General features: G+C 43.6%; 1 protein-coding gene across 42 annotated transcripts in view, besides 1 other annotated feature; it reads left to right on the forward strand.

The window, feature by feature from the left end:
- TSEN2 (tRNA splicing endonuclease subunit 2) overlaps window positions 1,639-16,896 on the forward strand; it is a 59,394-nt gene continuing 44,136 nt past the window's right edge. For 23 of the 42 annotated variants that reach the window (XR_007095737.1, XR_007095736.1, XR_007095742.1 and 20 more), the window contains exons 1-3: window positions 5,888-5,925; window positions 11,192-11,397; window positions 13,544-13,625. Coding sequence is in view for 19 of the 42 variants with exons in the window: in NM_001321278.2 (NP_001308207.1) it covers window positions 11,209-11,397; window positions 13,544-13,625 (271 nt within the window). In the remaining 23 variants the exon portion in view is untranslated. The other 19 variants (XR_007095739.1, XR_001740289.3, XR_001740291.2 and 16 more) reach the window with 6 other exon arrangements.
- Window positions 5,812-6,231: an enhancer, noted in NCBI's record as "active region_19441". NCBI's record gives its function as "activates an Ori minimal core promoter by ATAC-STARR-seq in GM12878 lymphoblastoid cells {active_cell/tissue: GM12878}" and the evidence as "EXISTENCE:reporter gene assay evidence [ECO:0000049][PMID:35858748]".

Raw genomic sequence — 16,896 nt, forward strand, 5'->3', positions numbered from 1 at the left:
CTGCTGCATTGCTACATAGCACTCCACTGTGTGAACATTTTATACCACGTTTTACGTATCCACTTCTCTAGGGATGAACATTTACGTTGTCTTTTTTTTTCTTTTTCTTTTTTCGAGACAAGGTCTTGTTCTGTCACCCAGGCTGGAGTGCAGTGGAGTGATCATGGCTCACTGCAGCCTTGAACTCCTGGCCTCAAACCATCCTCCTGCCTCAGCCTCCTGAGTAGCTGGGACCACAGGCATTCACCCCCATGCCGGGCTAAAAGTTGTCTCCTTTTAAAAAAAAAACCATAATGCTTTAATAAAAATCTTTGTATTTATTTCTTTGGCCACAGATGCCTAAGTTTCTCTAGGAAATTTACACAGAAGTAGAGTTTGTTTGATTGTTCATGGGAAGAAACAGGGCAGGAGTAGGAGTATGAAATCTAGTCCACCCTCTGATGTTTTTGTTTTGTTTTGTTGTTTTGTTTGTTTTTTTTTTTTTTTTTGAGACAGAGTCTCACTCTGTCACCCAGGCTGGAGTGCAGTAGCAAGATCTCAGCTCATTGCAACCTCCACCTCCCAGGTTAAAGTGATTCTCCTGCCTCAGCCTCCCAAGTAGCTGGGATTACAGGCACGCACCACTACACACGGCTAATTTTTATATTTTTAGTAGAGATGGGGTTTCACCATTTTGGCCAGGCTGGTCTTGAACTCTTGACCTCAGGTGATCCACCCACCTCAGCCTCCCAAAGTTCTGGGATTACAGGCCTGAGCCACCGAGCCTGCCTCCTGCTCTGATGTTTACTCCCTGTGTGACCTTGGGCAACTCATCTCACCTCTCTGAATCTGTTTTCCTACCTATAAAAAGAGTATGATGATCATTAACTCACCAGGTTGCTGGAGAGAATTAAGTGGGTCTACCTTAAAAAAAACACCTGGATTAGTGCAGATGGTAGGAATCCAGGTAGCTCTCATCATCAGTGCTACAGATCTTTCTGGATCTCAGGTAATTCTTAACCCTTTGCACAAGGGACTCTTGGCCCTTAAAAGCCCACACAGCAAGGCAATGCCTTGGGGACTTGACCAGCCCGTCCCTTCACACACAGTGTCAACTCTATCCCACAGCCTGGCCTGGTGTTAGTCTGGTAAATAATGGCATTAATGTACGCTGCAGAATCTCAGCTTCCTCATCTGTAAATGGGATAATATCAGTGACCTCAAAGAGCTGCTGAGGCTCAATCTCTCTTTCAACATGGTGAAATTAGCGGAGGCTTTCTCTCACCAGCAGAGTGAAGCTGGACTATGTCTCTGATTTGATTTTTTTTTTTCACAGCCCTTGCATTTTCTGTTGAGGATGCTGAGTAAAAAGTTAGAGCTTAGTAGGGTCCCTGTGTTTGTTTTCACCTCGGTAAAGCAGTGTCCTTCAGACACTAGGTGGTTTAAATTTGCTGAAATGTCTCCATCTGGTGGACTGTCTGAAATACTACAGGGTTCAACGCTATTTCAGAAAAACAATGGGGCGACAGCTGGGGCTGCCCTGCCCTGCTCAGAAACGTTGGTGGCTCCCCATTGTCTGCAGGGTAAAGTCCAAAAGCCAAGCCTGGAATTTAAGCGCCTCCACAATCGGTCCCCACCCTACCTATCGGACCTTATCACAGCTCCAACCTCCTGCCCCGGCCAGGCCCAGCTCCTCCCTGGCTCCGGAACCAAGGCCCATTCCAGCCTTGCACATGGGCCTGCCCTGTGCCCTAGGCAGCCACCTGCCCTCCTCCTCTCCTCCTCCTAAGGCTAACCTCCCTTCCAGGGGCAGCTCATATGCCACCTCTTCCTGGAAGCCTCCCAGGCTCTTAAACCCATCCTGGTCTTCCCTGACCTCCAACCGACACTTACTGTTGGTTATTTTTTATATTTCAGTACTGAATGTTGTGTGGTTTTTGTTTGTTTTGTTTCTTTGTTTTTTTTTTTTTTTTTTTTTTGAGACAGTATCACTCTGTCGCCCAGGCTGGAGTGTAGTGGCGCAATCTCCGCTCACTGTAACCTCTGCCTCCTGGGTTCGAGTGATTCTCCTGTCTCAGCTTCCCGAATAGCTGGGATTACAGGCGCATCACCATGCCCAGCTAATTTTTATATATTTTTTTTAGTAGAGACGGGGTTTTGCCATGTTGGCCAGGCTGGTCTTGAACTCCCACCCTCAGGTGATCAACCCACCTCGGCCTCCCAGAGTTCTGGGATTACAGGCATAAGTCACCGCGCCCGGCCTGTCATGTTTTGTTAATGCATTGCCCTCCTGTATCCAGCATGACAGATTAAAAGAGCATAAGCCCCGTAGATCCGTATCCTCATCTGGCCTTCACTACTTCCTAGCAATGACACCATGGGCATGTGCGGTAACCTTGGCTGCAGAAGAGAGGTAAGAACACCAATCTCACAGCCCTGTTATGAGAATTAAATAAGATCATGGATGCAAAAGTGGCTGGCACATAGTAAGTGCCCAATAAATTGTCACTAGGGTGGCCAGATAAAATGTGAGGCACCCAGATTAACTTGAATTTCAGATAAACTTTTTTCTTAAGTATATCCCAAATATTACTTGGAGGTTCTGGGCACATTTCACCGATAACTGTTCATTGTGTTAGATGTGCTAGTGATACTGGGGATATGTTGATATAGTCCATCCTCCCTACTCTTGGATTCTGTATTTACAAACTCACCTAGTTGCTAAAACTTATTGGTAACATCACAATCAATACTTCACTGTCACAGTCATCTGCAGATGTGTGCATGCACAGAATACCAAAAAATTTGAGTCACACAGTGTGCACATTCCCAGCTGCAGGTGAACAAGGAGACTCTGCCTTCTTGTTTCAGCTCTCATACCATAAATAAGTATGCTTTTTTGAGCTCTAGTTTGTGCCATGTTTTTCACATTTTTGTGCTTTTTGTTGGTGATTTAACTGTTTAAAATGGCCCCAAGTGGAGTGCTGAAGTGCTGTCTGGTGTTCCCCACCCAAGAAATGTGCCTTATTGGAGAGAATAGGTGTGTTAGATAAGCCTCCTTTAGGCAGGAGTTATAGTGCTGTTGGCTGCGAGTTCAGTGTTGATGAATCAACATATGTAAGGTGTCTTTAAACAGAAACACATGAAGTGAGGTTATATATTGACCAGTTGATGAAAATGCTGTGACCAGAGACTCACAGACACCTAACCTTGTATCTTGTATTTCTCCTGGAAACATGGTTCAGTATTTACTAATTCAGTGTTTGTGGCAACTTTATAGAACAGAATTACCTCAAATAATGAGAATGAACTACACAGTTGATATATGTGTGTGTGTGTGTGTGTGTCTGCGTATATATATATATATATATGTAGATGCAGATGTATTGTAATAAAATTAAGTCCTTATCTATTAGAGATACCTACTGAAATATCATGGATGAAGTTATATCATGTCTGGGATTGTTTTAAAATACTCCAGCAAGGAGATAAAAGTGTGTATATCGAGAATGCAAAAGAAATGAGATACCAAAGGTTGAAGGTTGTAGAAGCGATTTTTTATTTTTGAGACAGAGTTTTTACTCTTGTTGCCTAGGCTGGAGGGCAATGGTGCAATCCCGACTCACCACAACCTCCACCTCCCCGGTTCAAGCAATTCTCTTGCCTCAGCCTCCAGGGTAGCTGGGATTATAGGCATGCACCACCATGTCCAGCTAATTTTGTATTTTTAGTAGAGATGGGGTTTCTCCATGTTGGTCAGGCTGGTCTCGAACTCCCAACCTCAGGTGATCCACCCGCCTCAGCCTCCCAAAGTGCTGGGATTACAGGCATGAGCCACCGTGCCCGGCCAGAAGTGATGATTTATTGGACTGTTTTCTCTACTTTTGTGTTGTATGTTTGAAAATAACCATATCAAAGGGTTTAAAATGCACTTGAGAAAGTCTTGGGGAAAATTTCTTTCTTTTTTAAAATTTACAGATTTTTTTTCTTTTTTTAATTTCTTTTTTTATGTTTTTGGGAGGGGAATTTGAGATCCCATTATCAGCAAACCCCAAATCCTTCCACGAGCTGGGATGGGATTTAAGAGACCTGGCTCTAGTCTCAGCCCCACCTCAGACCTGCTCGGTTATCTCTGACAACTCACAGTGCCACTGGAACTGTTTTCTTATCAGTTAAATAAGGAAGTTTAACTGGACAACCTCTGAATCCCTTTCATTGTTAAAGCCCTCTAATTCTAAAACCAGTATTTCTTAAATTGGCATGTTCTGGTCGGATATTACAGCCTCTCTTCAGCTGTCTCTCCCCTGCCCAATCCATCCTGTTACCATATCCTGTGACTCTTGCCAATTTTCTCCCTTTCTTTTGCAACATTCTTACCACAAAGCTCTTTGATTTTGGTTTATCTAAAACCTGAACTCCCTAGCCTAGCAGTGAAGGTCCTTGCAGCAGAGGACCCACTGAATGCTGCGACATGATCTCACTCTACCAAGAGCAAGCCCACAGTGCAGTTCAAAAAGGGCCAGGCAGGATGCAGTGGCTCAAGCCTGTAATCCCAGCACTTTGGGAGGCCGAGGCGGGAGGATCGCTTGAGGTCAGGAGTTTGAGACCAGCCTGGCCAACGTGGTGAAACCCCGTTTCTACTAAAAATATAACAATCAGCCGGGCGTGGTGGCAGGCGCCTGTAATCCGAGCTACTCGGGAGGCTGAGGCAGGAGAATCACCTGAACCTGGGAGGCAGAGATTGCAGTGAGGTAAGTGAGCTGAGATGGTGCCACTGCATTCCAGCCTGGGCGACAGAGCCAGGCTCCGTCTCAAAAAATAAAAAGGGCCAGAAAAACAGGGACAACACATGCCATGCCAGACTACTGCAGAGCACAGAGGCAAGTCACCCAAGCAGGTCTGGGAAGGCAAGAAGTCTCCTGGAAGAGGTGATATTTGAGCTGAGACCTAAAGGCTGACCAGGAATTACTGCAGCTAACAGAGGGGAGGGAACATAGAGGCAACAGCATGCGTGAAGGAATGGAGGCAAGAACATTGGCAGAAGTCCAAAATTCAACATCCATCATCACATCTAGCACCATGAATCTCTCCAGCAGTATTTGCCACACTTCCTTGCCATCCTCCTTTGCCTCCTGCTTAGTCTGTGTGGTGGAACTCCTGTGATTCATATTTGGGAAAGTATATATTGGACTCCCCACAGGGCTCCTTTAAAATAACCAGGTCAGGAGAAACTTACACTTCCTATTGCACTCCAGTTTTGCTCATCTCCCGTAATTCTGATGGCCCATTTTTCAGTAAACTCAAGCTCAGAAAGGTTGTCAGTCATTCAAGCTCACGCAGCCAGTGAGGGGGGAAAATGGGGATGCAGAGCAGGTGGACCTGCCGCCTATTGTCCCTTAACTGCACAGGCAGTCTGGGCACACAGAGGCTTCTGGCCAGGTGTCTGCCAGAGAAAACGTCCTTGCAAGTTCCCCGCATGCTGCAGCGTACACAGGTGCGCTGCTGTGATCCTCTTTCTACATTGAGAAAGATGAGATCAGTTTCCTCAGGGCCATTTAATAAAGTCCTGTCGGTCGCCTCAAACATCCCATCCACCGAGGGCCGAAGATTCTAGGTCTCTCCCACCTCCCACGTGACTATGTGACATTTGACGGGTAACTGCATCTCATCTGTAAAATGCGTCTTGCAGGATCGTTCTGGCTTCCGTACAATCCTGCAGAGAGCAGCAAAGCGCGCACGCAGCCTCCGCCTCATACTCCGCAGTGGCAGAGCTGGCGCACAGAACACCCGCCAGCCGGCCGTGCGCAGGCGCACTCCGCCAAGTCCCGACGGGAGCTCTGCGGCTGCGCACTCGGCTGGCTTTGCGGCCGCACTGCTTGACGGCAGCGGTGTCCGCCCCACGGCCGGCGTTGCCGGGGTAACGGCGAGCGCGTGGGGCCAAGAAAGGTAAGGGCCCTGGGCGAGGAAAGCGCGGCCCTTTCCGAGTTTGGTGTTTTGCAGCGAAAGGAAATCTCGCTCTTCCGAAAGTCCTCCAGGGCGAGAGAGGAAAGGGCCTAGGTACTGTGCTGGGGTCGCACAGCCGGCCGAGACAGTGCCGGGACGGGGAGCCAGGCTTCCGAGTGCGCCCGGTCACTGACTCCTCCGCGCTTTCCTCGTGCGCCTGCAGCCCTTGGTTCTTGGAAACGCCGGCGCCTTGTTCAGGGCTGGTGGGGCTGGGGCGCAAGGTGCAGCTGACAATGCCCGAGAGGAGCCGCAGCCTCTGGTGGAGTTCGGTCGGGTGTGGGGGTAGTCAAGGAAAGAAGCAAAGGGGTAAGACAGGGAGTTAGGAATTGGCGGGGCCCCTAACGCTGTTGGGGTGCGCAGTTTATTTTATTTGCAGCTGTCGTCTGGTGAGCGCTTTCCACGTGGTAGGCCCCGAACGAAACGCCTTCTGCAAAATTATGCATTTAATCCTGACAACAACTTTCAAAGGCTGGTCATCTGTTTATATGGCTTATTCTCAGGTTCTAACTTGAAAGCTCCCCAGAGGCAGGATTGTTTACCTTGTGCCTTTCATCCTTGCCTCCCTAAGCCCAGGAGGTGCGCAGATGGAGCTTGAAGCGTGTTTTGGTTGGGAGAAGGTGAGATTTGCTGGGTAGGAGGTTTTTTAACCAGGTTTGTTTGGCACCTAGTCCAGGAAGGTTGGAAAATTAAATGGAGCCACCTCTCCCTTTTTTGTTTTTCTAATAGACATTTACCATCACCTAAGAGGTGTTAGCCTGTGTGCTCGAGGGAAGAATAAGAAACAGACTCTGCTTTTAATAGAAAGTAAGAATATGCAGCTCTGGAGTCAGGTTGCGCAGGTTGGGGAAATAAGAAGTAAAGATTTCTCAGGGGTGCGCCCGGCCCCTCCGAGTCACTTTCCACATCTGTACAATGGAAATAAAAATAGTCTTTACCTCCGGGGGCTACTGGGATTAAGTGAATTTGAATAGACCTTGCTGTTACCAGTGGTTAGCTATATGTTAAAATCAGCTGGGTCCACCCAGGAAATTCTGATGTAATTGATTGCAGGTGAGGCCTGGGCATGAGGAGTTAAGGGTAGGTAAGCTTGAGGGCCACTGTGTGATGTACCACTCCCAGGTTTAATTTTCTTAATCTGCATTTTTCAATCATCATTCTAAATAACCTGCAGTGACTCCAATTCCAAACCAACCTTTGCATCCCAAACCTCTTGACAACTGACCCAGTCTTTCCTATATGTTTTTGTGCACCTCAGGCACCGCTCTTCTTTCATATCTGTGGAATGAGGATAGTACAGTCAGCTCTCGCTATCAGGTTCCGAATCTGTGGATTCAACCAATGTTGCATCAAAAATATTTGGAAAAAGAAATTTAAAAATATATATATATAACAATTATTTAGTATTTACATTGTATTAGGTATTCTAAGTAATCTAGAGAAGACTTAAAGTAGATGGGAGGATGGGCATAAGTTACATGCAAATACTACATTTTATTTAAGGGACTTGAGCTGCGGATTTTGGTAGGGGGTGAGTCCTGGAACCAGTCCTTCTGTGGATACCAAGGGATGACTATAGTACCCACATGTGCAGCACATGCAGTGAGTGCCTCTGGCATCTGGTACCTACCTATGACAGTTTCCTCTTCTTATTTTACTCACATCCCACCTCTTACAGCATGCTGTTCTGCCGCGACACTAAAGAACCTTCTTGAATATCCATTGCAGATATGGGGAATGGTAAATGCAGTCTTTTCTCCTCTGCTTTGCCTTTCGAGTTCAGCACAGGAGGACTCTTCCATGAAACTAGAGATCATCTGATTTGTCCTCTTGAATTTTTCCCCCTGGGGAAGTGAGCTCTACCTTCCCTGAGGGTTTCTTTCTATCTTTTCTAGAAGCTTCACGCTGGTATCTGTGAAGTCATTCTTGCAGGACATGGCCTGGGGAATGTCTTTACTTCTGAATTTTTTAAAATAGCTTTATTGAGATACCATATAATTCTGTAAAAGTCACCCTTCTGAAATGTACGAGTCAGTGGTCTTCGTATTCGCGGAGTTATGTAACCATTACCATCACTACAATCTAATTTTAAAACATTTTCGTCACCCTCCAAAATAAACCTCCTGTCTTATTAGCAGTCGCCCCCCCATTTCCCACTTTTCCCTGTCTCTGGCAACTGGTAATCTGTCTCTATGGATTTGTCTATTCCGGAAACTTTATCTTAATTGTCTCGTGGTCTTTTGTGTCTGACTTCTTTTAGCATAATGCTTTCAGGTGTTGAAGAATGTATCCGAACTTCATTCCTTTTCTATGGCTAAGTATTTGATTATATGGATAGACCACATTTTGTTGATCTGGTCAACTATTGATGGACATTTGGATGGCTTCCACTTTGATGCTATTATGAATAATACTGTTGTGAACATTCACATACAAATTTTTCCATGAACATATGTTTTCATTTCTCTTAGGTCTATACCTAGGGGTGGAGTTGCTGGATCATGTCGTAACTATGTGTTTGACATTTTGAGGAACTGCCAGACTCCTCCAGTCCTGTTCGATTTGAAGATGAAACTGGGCTTAGAGAAAGTGGGTTGTGCAAGGTCACACAATAATAATGGCGGCTTTGCATGTCTGGAAGGCCTACTGCGAGCCAAATTCCTGAGGGGTGTGCAGCCACATGAGCAAGAGTAACACAAGAACTTGGATTATGAGGGGTGTTTTGTCGCAGGGACCCTTCCATCCCACACACCTGGGTTGGAGTACAGAGTTCTTTCGATCAAGTGTCACAGCTAAATCTTGCCTTTTTTAGATGTGACAGCAGTCTGAGAGGGAAAAACGCTGAACAAATGAGGCAGACTAAAATACAACTCTTATTTGTTGAGAGAATTTATTAGAACTTCTTGAAGGTGGCCATTAAATCTTTTTTCATTTTTTTAAAATTCCGAATGTAATGTATATAAGTCAGCTGCTGAGCAGAGGTTATAAAAGTGAAAAATCCCATAAAAGTCCAAACCATTCCTGGAAGTCTTTCAAAAAGTGCCTTACTAGAGACCAACATCCTGCCCCCAAAAAGCAGTGTTTATTTTCAGTTTTAGAATAAATTATTGTCTCTCCAATTGAGTACTAAATGTGATAATTTAGTACTTGGGCTGAGGGATAAGTCAGCAAGCAAGGTAAAGCCTAGTCTAAATATGCTCTTAAGAAAATCTCTTAGGTTTCCTGTGAGCATGCAGTAGACGTGGTTTTGTTATAAACACTATACAGCAAGATGCATGCATAAATATAAAATGTACAAAGTAATGCTCAGTATGTAATTCCTTCAAGGAACCTTATTTAGAAATTAATCTAGCATGTTGCTGCTTAGAACAATGGCAATTCTAGGAAGGTTCCAACTTCCCGATTCTTCTTTTTCATGGTTATCTTTGTAATTGATGTATCATTTCCTCTAACTCCTCTTTAGTCTGTGTTTTTCTGTGTCCTCATATAATTCCTCAGCTTCTTCCTTGAGAAGTTGGATACTGATATCATCACACGTTGGATAAGCCTTTTCTTAATGGTCATGACACTCTTAAAGCCACTCACCTTCCCCTCCCTCAGTTTTGGCCACCTTCTTGACTGTTTCAGGCTTGATGGCATCCCTTGCCAATGGGATGCAAGTACTGAGTGCAGGAGCCACCTAAGTAATTAGTCTTATTTTTTCCCTTGTGAGGATTCGGAGTCATGTAGGTTAAACGTGTGTATGATTTGGCCGCACTGTATCTTCAAGCACCAGGTAAGCTCTCAGTTGAAATCAAGTCTAGACCTAGTACTGGGGGAGCAGCAGATTCAAGTTTCCCATCTCATTCCAGGACAGCTGCTCCTCGAGTGGAATGTCTTGCACCATTTACATTGTTTTCCCATGTATATGGTTACGTTTTCCTAGGTTAAGTGCATCTACTGTATCTCTGTGTCTGCATCACACAATATGTTCACATTTACTTCCCTCCTTTAGACATTAGTGGATAACAGCCAGTTCCGTTAGCTCCAACCTGCTTTCTGTGCTTCCAGCTATGTTATATACTTGTTTTGTCTCCTTGGATCCAATGTATGGCCCCAGAGGGACACGTACTGGCTTTGGCTTTCTGTTCTCCCTCATGGTGCTGGGTGCACAGTGGGTAATTCCGTTACTGCTCAATAACCCTTCACCGTCTGATTTTGAGAAAGAGTCATCAGACAAAAGTAGATAGACCCTGCCTGTGCTTTCAGCAGAATCTAGAGAGAGGGCATGGGCTTGGGAGTTCAACAGACCTGGGTCACCCGATGCCACCACACTCGGGGTCGTCTACAAATCTCTCTAACCTGAATCTGTTTCCTATTTGTAAAATGGTGTTGCTACTGCTCACCCTGTAATACTAATTATAGCTGATACATGAATGGTACACGCTATGTGCCAGGTACTGTTCTAAGCACTTTATGGATCTTAACTGTAAGATAGAGTCGTTCTTATCTTGATTTTGCAGGTGAGGAAACTAAATCACAGAGAGAGTCAGTGACTTTTGCCCAAAATCACACTGCTAGGAAGTGGTAAAGTTGATTCTGATGCTGATAGTCTGGCTTTAGAGTCCCTGCTTGAAGCCAGTAGCATTTGGTAGTATATAATCGACCCTTAAATAACTGCTGCTGTCATTATTATTTATTAATGTACTTTAAAAATTGGGAGCTGATTGACCCAATGTTTAGTGTGTATTGTAAGATCCTCTTGGAAAATGAAGTGCCTGCAAGATTTAATTTGTTGAGGACAGGGTCTCAGTTTTGTCTTTGTCTCCCCAGCACCTATGATTATTAGGAATTCCTGGTAGTAAATGTCTGTTGGGTGAGTGAAATGGAAGCACTCCTGGTAGACAGAAATCCTGTTGTGCTTGCTCTCAGGAGACCTAACATTGCAGCTTTGGGCATGTCACTAGGTCTCAGCGTTGTCAGCTGGAGTAGAAAGATTACCACTCATTTCCTGGGGTTTATTGTGGGGATTAATTGCAGTATTCTAGGTCAATATGATTTACATTGCTCACACAAACTGTTCTTACTGCTTTTAGTTTATTGCTTTATAAATACTCTATTTCTTCCCACAGACCACTAAGTTTTCTGAGCCTAGGTACAGATGTACTCACATTTTGGATCAAGGTAGTTATTGATTGTCTGTTTCTTTCTGTTTGTTGTCTACTCTTTAAAGAATACCTCCTCTGAAAAATGGCAGAAGCAGTTTTCCATGCCCCAAAGAGGAAAAGAAGAGTGTATGAGACTTACGAGTCTCCATTGCCAATCCCTTTTGGTCAGGACCATGGTCCTCTGAAAGAATTCAAGATATTCCGTGCTGAAATGATTAACAACAATGTGATTGTGAGGAATGCGGAGGACATTGAGCAGCTCTATGGGAAAGTAAGTGCAGGCAGCCTTGGTAAGATTACTTTCAGACAACCCTGAGCAAGCAGTCCTTTCCTTCTCCCCATCCCAGCCATACCCCCACACCAACCATGAACAATGTGTATTCTTTCCTTGCGGTTTGGTCCAGTTGTAGGAAAAGTACAATTTGAATTAGTGCCCAAAAGCCATATGTTAGGGTAATAGAATGACAGATGGAGCACCCCTGCCCACAAACCTTTATTTCAGTGATGAAGTAGGTTCAATGGATTGACTATTTTTTTTGTCTTTAGTTGTAAAAGCAATGCATGTTTGTTAAAGGAACAAAAAAAGTAATTTACAGAAATGTAATGGGTAAAAAAGTGAAAATTCCCCACTCACTCCCATCCCGTTCCCAGAGGTAGCCACAGCGTGGCATAGTGTCCCTACTCAGGCACGGATCAGATGGGGCTTTGGCATGGAGCTCCTTATCTGCTGCCTCCTGGTTGGGGACCTCTTCTCAGATGAGGACAAGTTCTAGTTTTTACTGTTTTCCAGCATTGATCAAGTTGAATGAAGACTGGTAGTTCTTTAAAAAAAATTTTCCATAATCTGTTCATTGCTGTGGGCATTTTTAAAAAACAGCTTTATTGAGTTATAATTTACAACTATAAAGTCCTCCCATTGTAAGTATACAATTCAGTGATTGTCATAAATTTATAGAGTTGCACAACTCTCACCACAGTCCAGTTTTAGAACATTCCCATCACCACAGAGTTCCCTTGTGCCCATCACACTTAATCCCTGCTCCCACTCCCGGCCCAAGGCAGCCACGGAATGGCGTCTTGTCTCCATAAATGTGCCTTCTCTAGACACTTGATAGAAGAGTGGGTGGCACTGGCCATGGTGAGGCAGGAGTCTCAGTAGGCCAAGGGCAGCTCACCAGGGAGGCCTTCATTTACAGTATATAACATTAAGCAAGAGGCTTTATAAAGTGCTGTATGCATTATTTATTCTTGGTTTTTGTTGTTGCTGGGTGTTTTTTTTGTTTGTTTTTTGTGACAGAGTCTTACCCTGTCACCCAGACTAGGGTGCAGTGGCATGATCTCAGCTCACTGCAACCTCTACCTCCCAGGTTCAAGTGATTCTACCACCTCAGCCTCCCGAGTAGTTGGGACTACAGGCGCATGCCACCATGCCTGGCTAATTTTTGTATTTTTTGGTAGAGACAGGGTTTCACCATGTTGGCCAGGCTGGTCTTGAACCCCTGACCTCAAGTGATCTGCCCACCTCGGCCTCCCAAAGTGCCGGGATTACAGGTGTGAGCCACCATACCTGGCCTCTTTATTCTGATTGTTAATCTAAATGGAGAAAGGGGTGTTTGTTTTATTCTTTCAATTTTCTGTGTGTTTAAATATTTTGTAATGAAAAGGGGAAAAATACATGTTGTTTTTGGAATCAGCAGGAATGAGAGGAATACTTCAATTCTGGAGTACAAAAGAATCCAAGAGGTTTTTTTGGACCTAGTGGGCAGCATGGCTCCTGCCTTCAGGCACACTGTGTTCCCGAACCATATGTAGAGAAGAAACTCTGCCTCTGCCTGCCCTCGGCTTATCAGACCTAGACTGAAAGCATTAGTTATGGGATAAATGAGGTGTGCTAAAAACTTACTAGTACTCTTGAAGCGATTAGAAAGGTGTTACGCTAAGAACATCCTTAGTCATCATTAGATAATCAGAGGGAAAATGTAAAGACATGAAAAGTGGGGCGAACCTCTTGTTAACTCAGATGGGTACAGTCGGCCCTCCATATCATGGGTTCCACTTCCGTGGATTCACCCAACCTTGGATTGAAGATATTTTGGGAGAAAAATTGCATGTGTACCAAACGGGGACTTTATTTTCTTATATTAAACAATATAACAACTATTTACATAGCATTTGCATTGCATTAGGTATTATAAGTAGCCTAGAGATGACTTAAAGTATATGGGAGGGCCTACGTAGACTATATATAAATACTGCACCATTTTATATCAGGGACTCGACCATCTGCCGATTTTGGTATCCACCAGAGGTCCTGGAACCAGCCCCCTGTGGATACTGAGGGATTACTGTATATTCTACCTCAGCTAAAAAACTGGTAACTAAGCATGAACTAACTTCATTTTCTCTCTTCCTGGAAGGGTTATTTTGGAAAAGGTATTCTTTCAAGAAGCCGTCCAAGCTTCACAATTTCAGATCCTAAACTGGTTGCTAAATGGAAAGGTAAAGTTGTTGTATCATTCAGTTCTTTTGACAAATTAATCATTTTCCTTTGTTTTTGATCTTATATCTCAGGCTATATAGTAAAATTCTAGAGAAGTAACATGTACACTGGCAGTTTTACTGCCAAAGTTAGCTAGAATAATTCTAATCAAAGCAAAAGGGTTATGATTGGGTGACAGTGTGTTTAATTTCTAGAATTATCAAGTGTTAATTGGGCTTTTCTGTTGTTAAGTGTTTGCTTAGCAGAGTACTATGCCTATGGCAGGTACTGGTAGTTAAGTACCTGCTCACCTGTGGCACTATGCAAAATTTTTAAAATTTTGTTTCCAGAATTAGAATTTGTAATAGCCATGACATGTATGTGTGTGGTTCTCCCTTGCTGATTCTCTTTAATTTATAAATGTTTTAGAATATTTATCTAAGGAATTCTCATGGTAATTACTTAAGAACCAATACCAGCATGTTAAAACATAATTAGAAAGGATCTTTTAAAGGTTTTATTGTAAGAAAATATACAGATTAAAACTGCACTGAGATAACATGTCAACAATCAGGCAGAAATCCAAAAGTCTGACAATATACTGCATTGGTGAGGACTTCAGAAACAGACCTTCTCTTGCATTGCTGGTGGGGTGCTTGTGGTACCACCCTCATGGAGGTGAATTTGGCAATGTCTAGCAAAATTACCTATGCATTTACTTTGTTTTCTTTTCCCCCATTCCTCTCTTTCCTCAGTCCCTGGTAACCTTTATATGTTTTCTGTCTATGAATTTACCTATTATAGATATTTCATATATAAATAACAATCATACAATATTTGCCCTTTTGTGTCTGTTGCTTTCACTTAGCATATTTTCGAGGTTTGTCCCTGCCATAGTGTCTATCAGAACTTCATTCCGTTTTATAGTGGAATAATATTCCATTGTTTGGACATAGTGCCTTTAGCTCATCTGCTGATGGACACTTAGATTGTTTCTGTATTTTGGCTTTTCTGAATAATACTGTTGTGAATATTTGCATACACGTATCTGAGTCTATTTTTAGTTGTTTTGGATATATACCCAGGAGTAGAATTAATGGGTCATATGATAATTGTCTGTTTAACATTTTAAGAACTAGCTAAACTATTTTCCACATTGACCGCATCATTGTACATTCCCACCAGCAATGCACCAAAGGTTCCAATTTCTCTACATCCTTGCCAACACTTGTTTAAAAAAATAATAGTCGGCCAGGCGCGGTAGCTCACGCCTGTAATCCCAGCACTTTGGGAGGCCGAGGCGGGCAGATCATGAGGTCAGGAGTTCGAGACTAGCCTGACCAAGATGGTGAAACCCCATCTCTACTAAAAATACAAAAATTAGCCGGGCATGGTGCTGTGCACCTGTAATCCCAGCTACTCAGGAGGCTGAGGCAGGAGAATCACTTGAACCCGAGAGGCAGAGGTTGCAGTGAGCCGAGATTGCACCACTGCACTCCAGCCTGGGCGACAGAGCAAGACTCCGTTTCTAAATAAATAAATAAATAACAGAGCAAGACTCCATTTCTAAATAAATAAATAAAATAAAATAGTCATCCTAATGAGTATTAAATGGTAAAAGTTTTTCATTTTAATGAAGTCCAATTTATCTATTTTTTCTACTATTGCCTGTGCTTTTGGTATCTATTTAAGAAACCGTTGCCAAGTCCAAATCATGCAGATTTCCCTGGTGTTTTCTTTTAAGAGGTTTATAGTTTGAACTCTTAAGTTTAGGTCTTTGGTCCATTTTGTGTTAATTTTCGTATACTGTGTAAAGTAAGGGTCCAGCTTCATTGTTTTGCCTGTGGATATCCAGTTGTCCCAGTATATGCGTTTACTTTTGATCCAGCAATCTCACTTCTAGGAATTTATCTTAACAATACGCTGACAAAAATATGAAAAGAAATAGCACAGGGCTATTCATGCAACACTGTAATATCCAAAGACTGGGAACAACTTACATGTTCATCAGGAGAGGACCTGTGGAATAATCCATATTTATATAATTAATCCATATAATGAAGGACCGTGGAGCTGAGACAGGAATGGGAGATCGCTAGGATATGCTGGTAAGCGAAGACAGCACAGTATAAAGGAAAGTACATGCTGTGCTGTGGTTTATCTAAAAAGATGGAAATATAAAATAGATATTTTATTATATTTTTTGAGACAAGAGTCTCACTCACTCTGTCATCCAGGCTGGAGTACAGTTGTGCAATCTCCGATCTCAGCTCACTGCATCCTCCACTTCCTGGGTTCAAGCGATTCTCCTGCCTCAGCCTCCTGGGTGAGTAGCTGGGATTACAGGTGTATCCCACCATGCCCGGCTAATTTTTGTATTTTTAGTAGAGACAGAGTTTCGCCATGTTGAGCAGGCTGGTCTCAAACTCCTGACCTCAAGTGATCTGCCTGCCTTGGCCTCCCAAAGTGCTGGGATTACAGGCATGAGCCACTACGCCTGACCAATTTTTTTTAAATGGAAGGATAAAGCATAGTTTTTTAAAAATTCCAGTAGGAAGGGATGAAACAGGATGCAGAGAGAGGTGAGACTTTATAGATTTGACTTTGTAACCATATAAATGTATTACATAATTATAAAAAAAGTTTGGCTGGGCATGGTGGCTCACACCTGTAATCCCAGCACTTTGGGAGGCTGAGGCAGGCAGATCACCTGAGGTCAGGAGTTCAAGACCAGCCTGGCCAACATGGCGAAATCCTGTCTCTACCAAAAATACAAAAATGAGCTGGGCATGGTGGCAGGCACTTGTAATCCCAGCTACTTGGGAGGCTGAGGCAGGAGAATCGCTTGAACCCTGGAGGCGGAGGTTGCAGTGAGCCAAAATCGCGCCACTGCATTTCAGCCTGGGTGACATAATGCAACTCCGTCTCCAAAAAAAAAAAAAAAAAAAAAAGTTAAATTTTTACAAGAGATTTTTTTAAACATAGAAATGAAGTAACTGAAGCTTATATCAAGTTGGTTGTATAACCACAGAGTGAGAAATTATTTTGAGTAACTTTTGGTTTTTTTGGAGATAGGGCCTGGAGTGCAGTGGTGCAATCTCAGCTCACTGCAACCTCCACCTCCTGGGCTTATGCCGTCCTCCTACCTCAGCCTCCCGAGTAGCTGGAACTACAGGCACATGCCATCGCAGCTAGCTAATTTTTGTGTTTTTTGTAGAGACAGGGTTTCACCATGTTACCCAGGCTGGTCTTGAACTCCTGAGCTCAGACAATCCACCCGTCTCAGCTTCT

The sequence above is a fragment of the Homo sapiens genome, chromosome 3 (genome assembly GCF_000001405.40).
Source record: "Homo sapiens chromosome 3, GRCh38.p14 Primary Assembly".
Classification (NCBI taxonomy): Eukaryota; Metazoa; Chordata; class Mammalia; order Primates; family Hominidae; genus Homo; species Homo sapiens.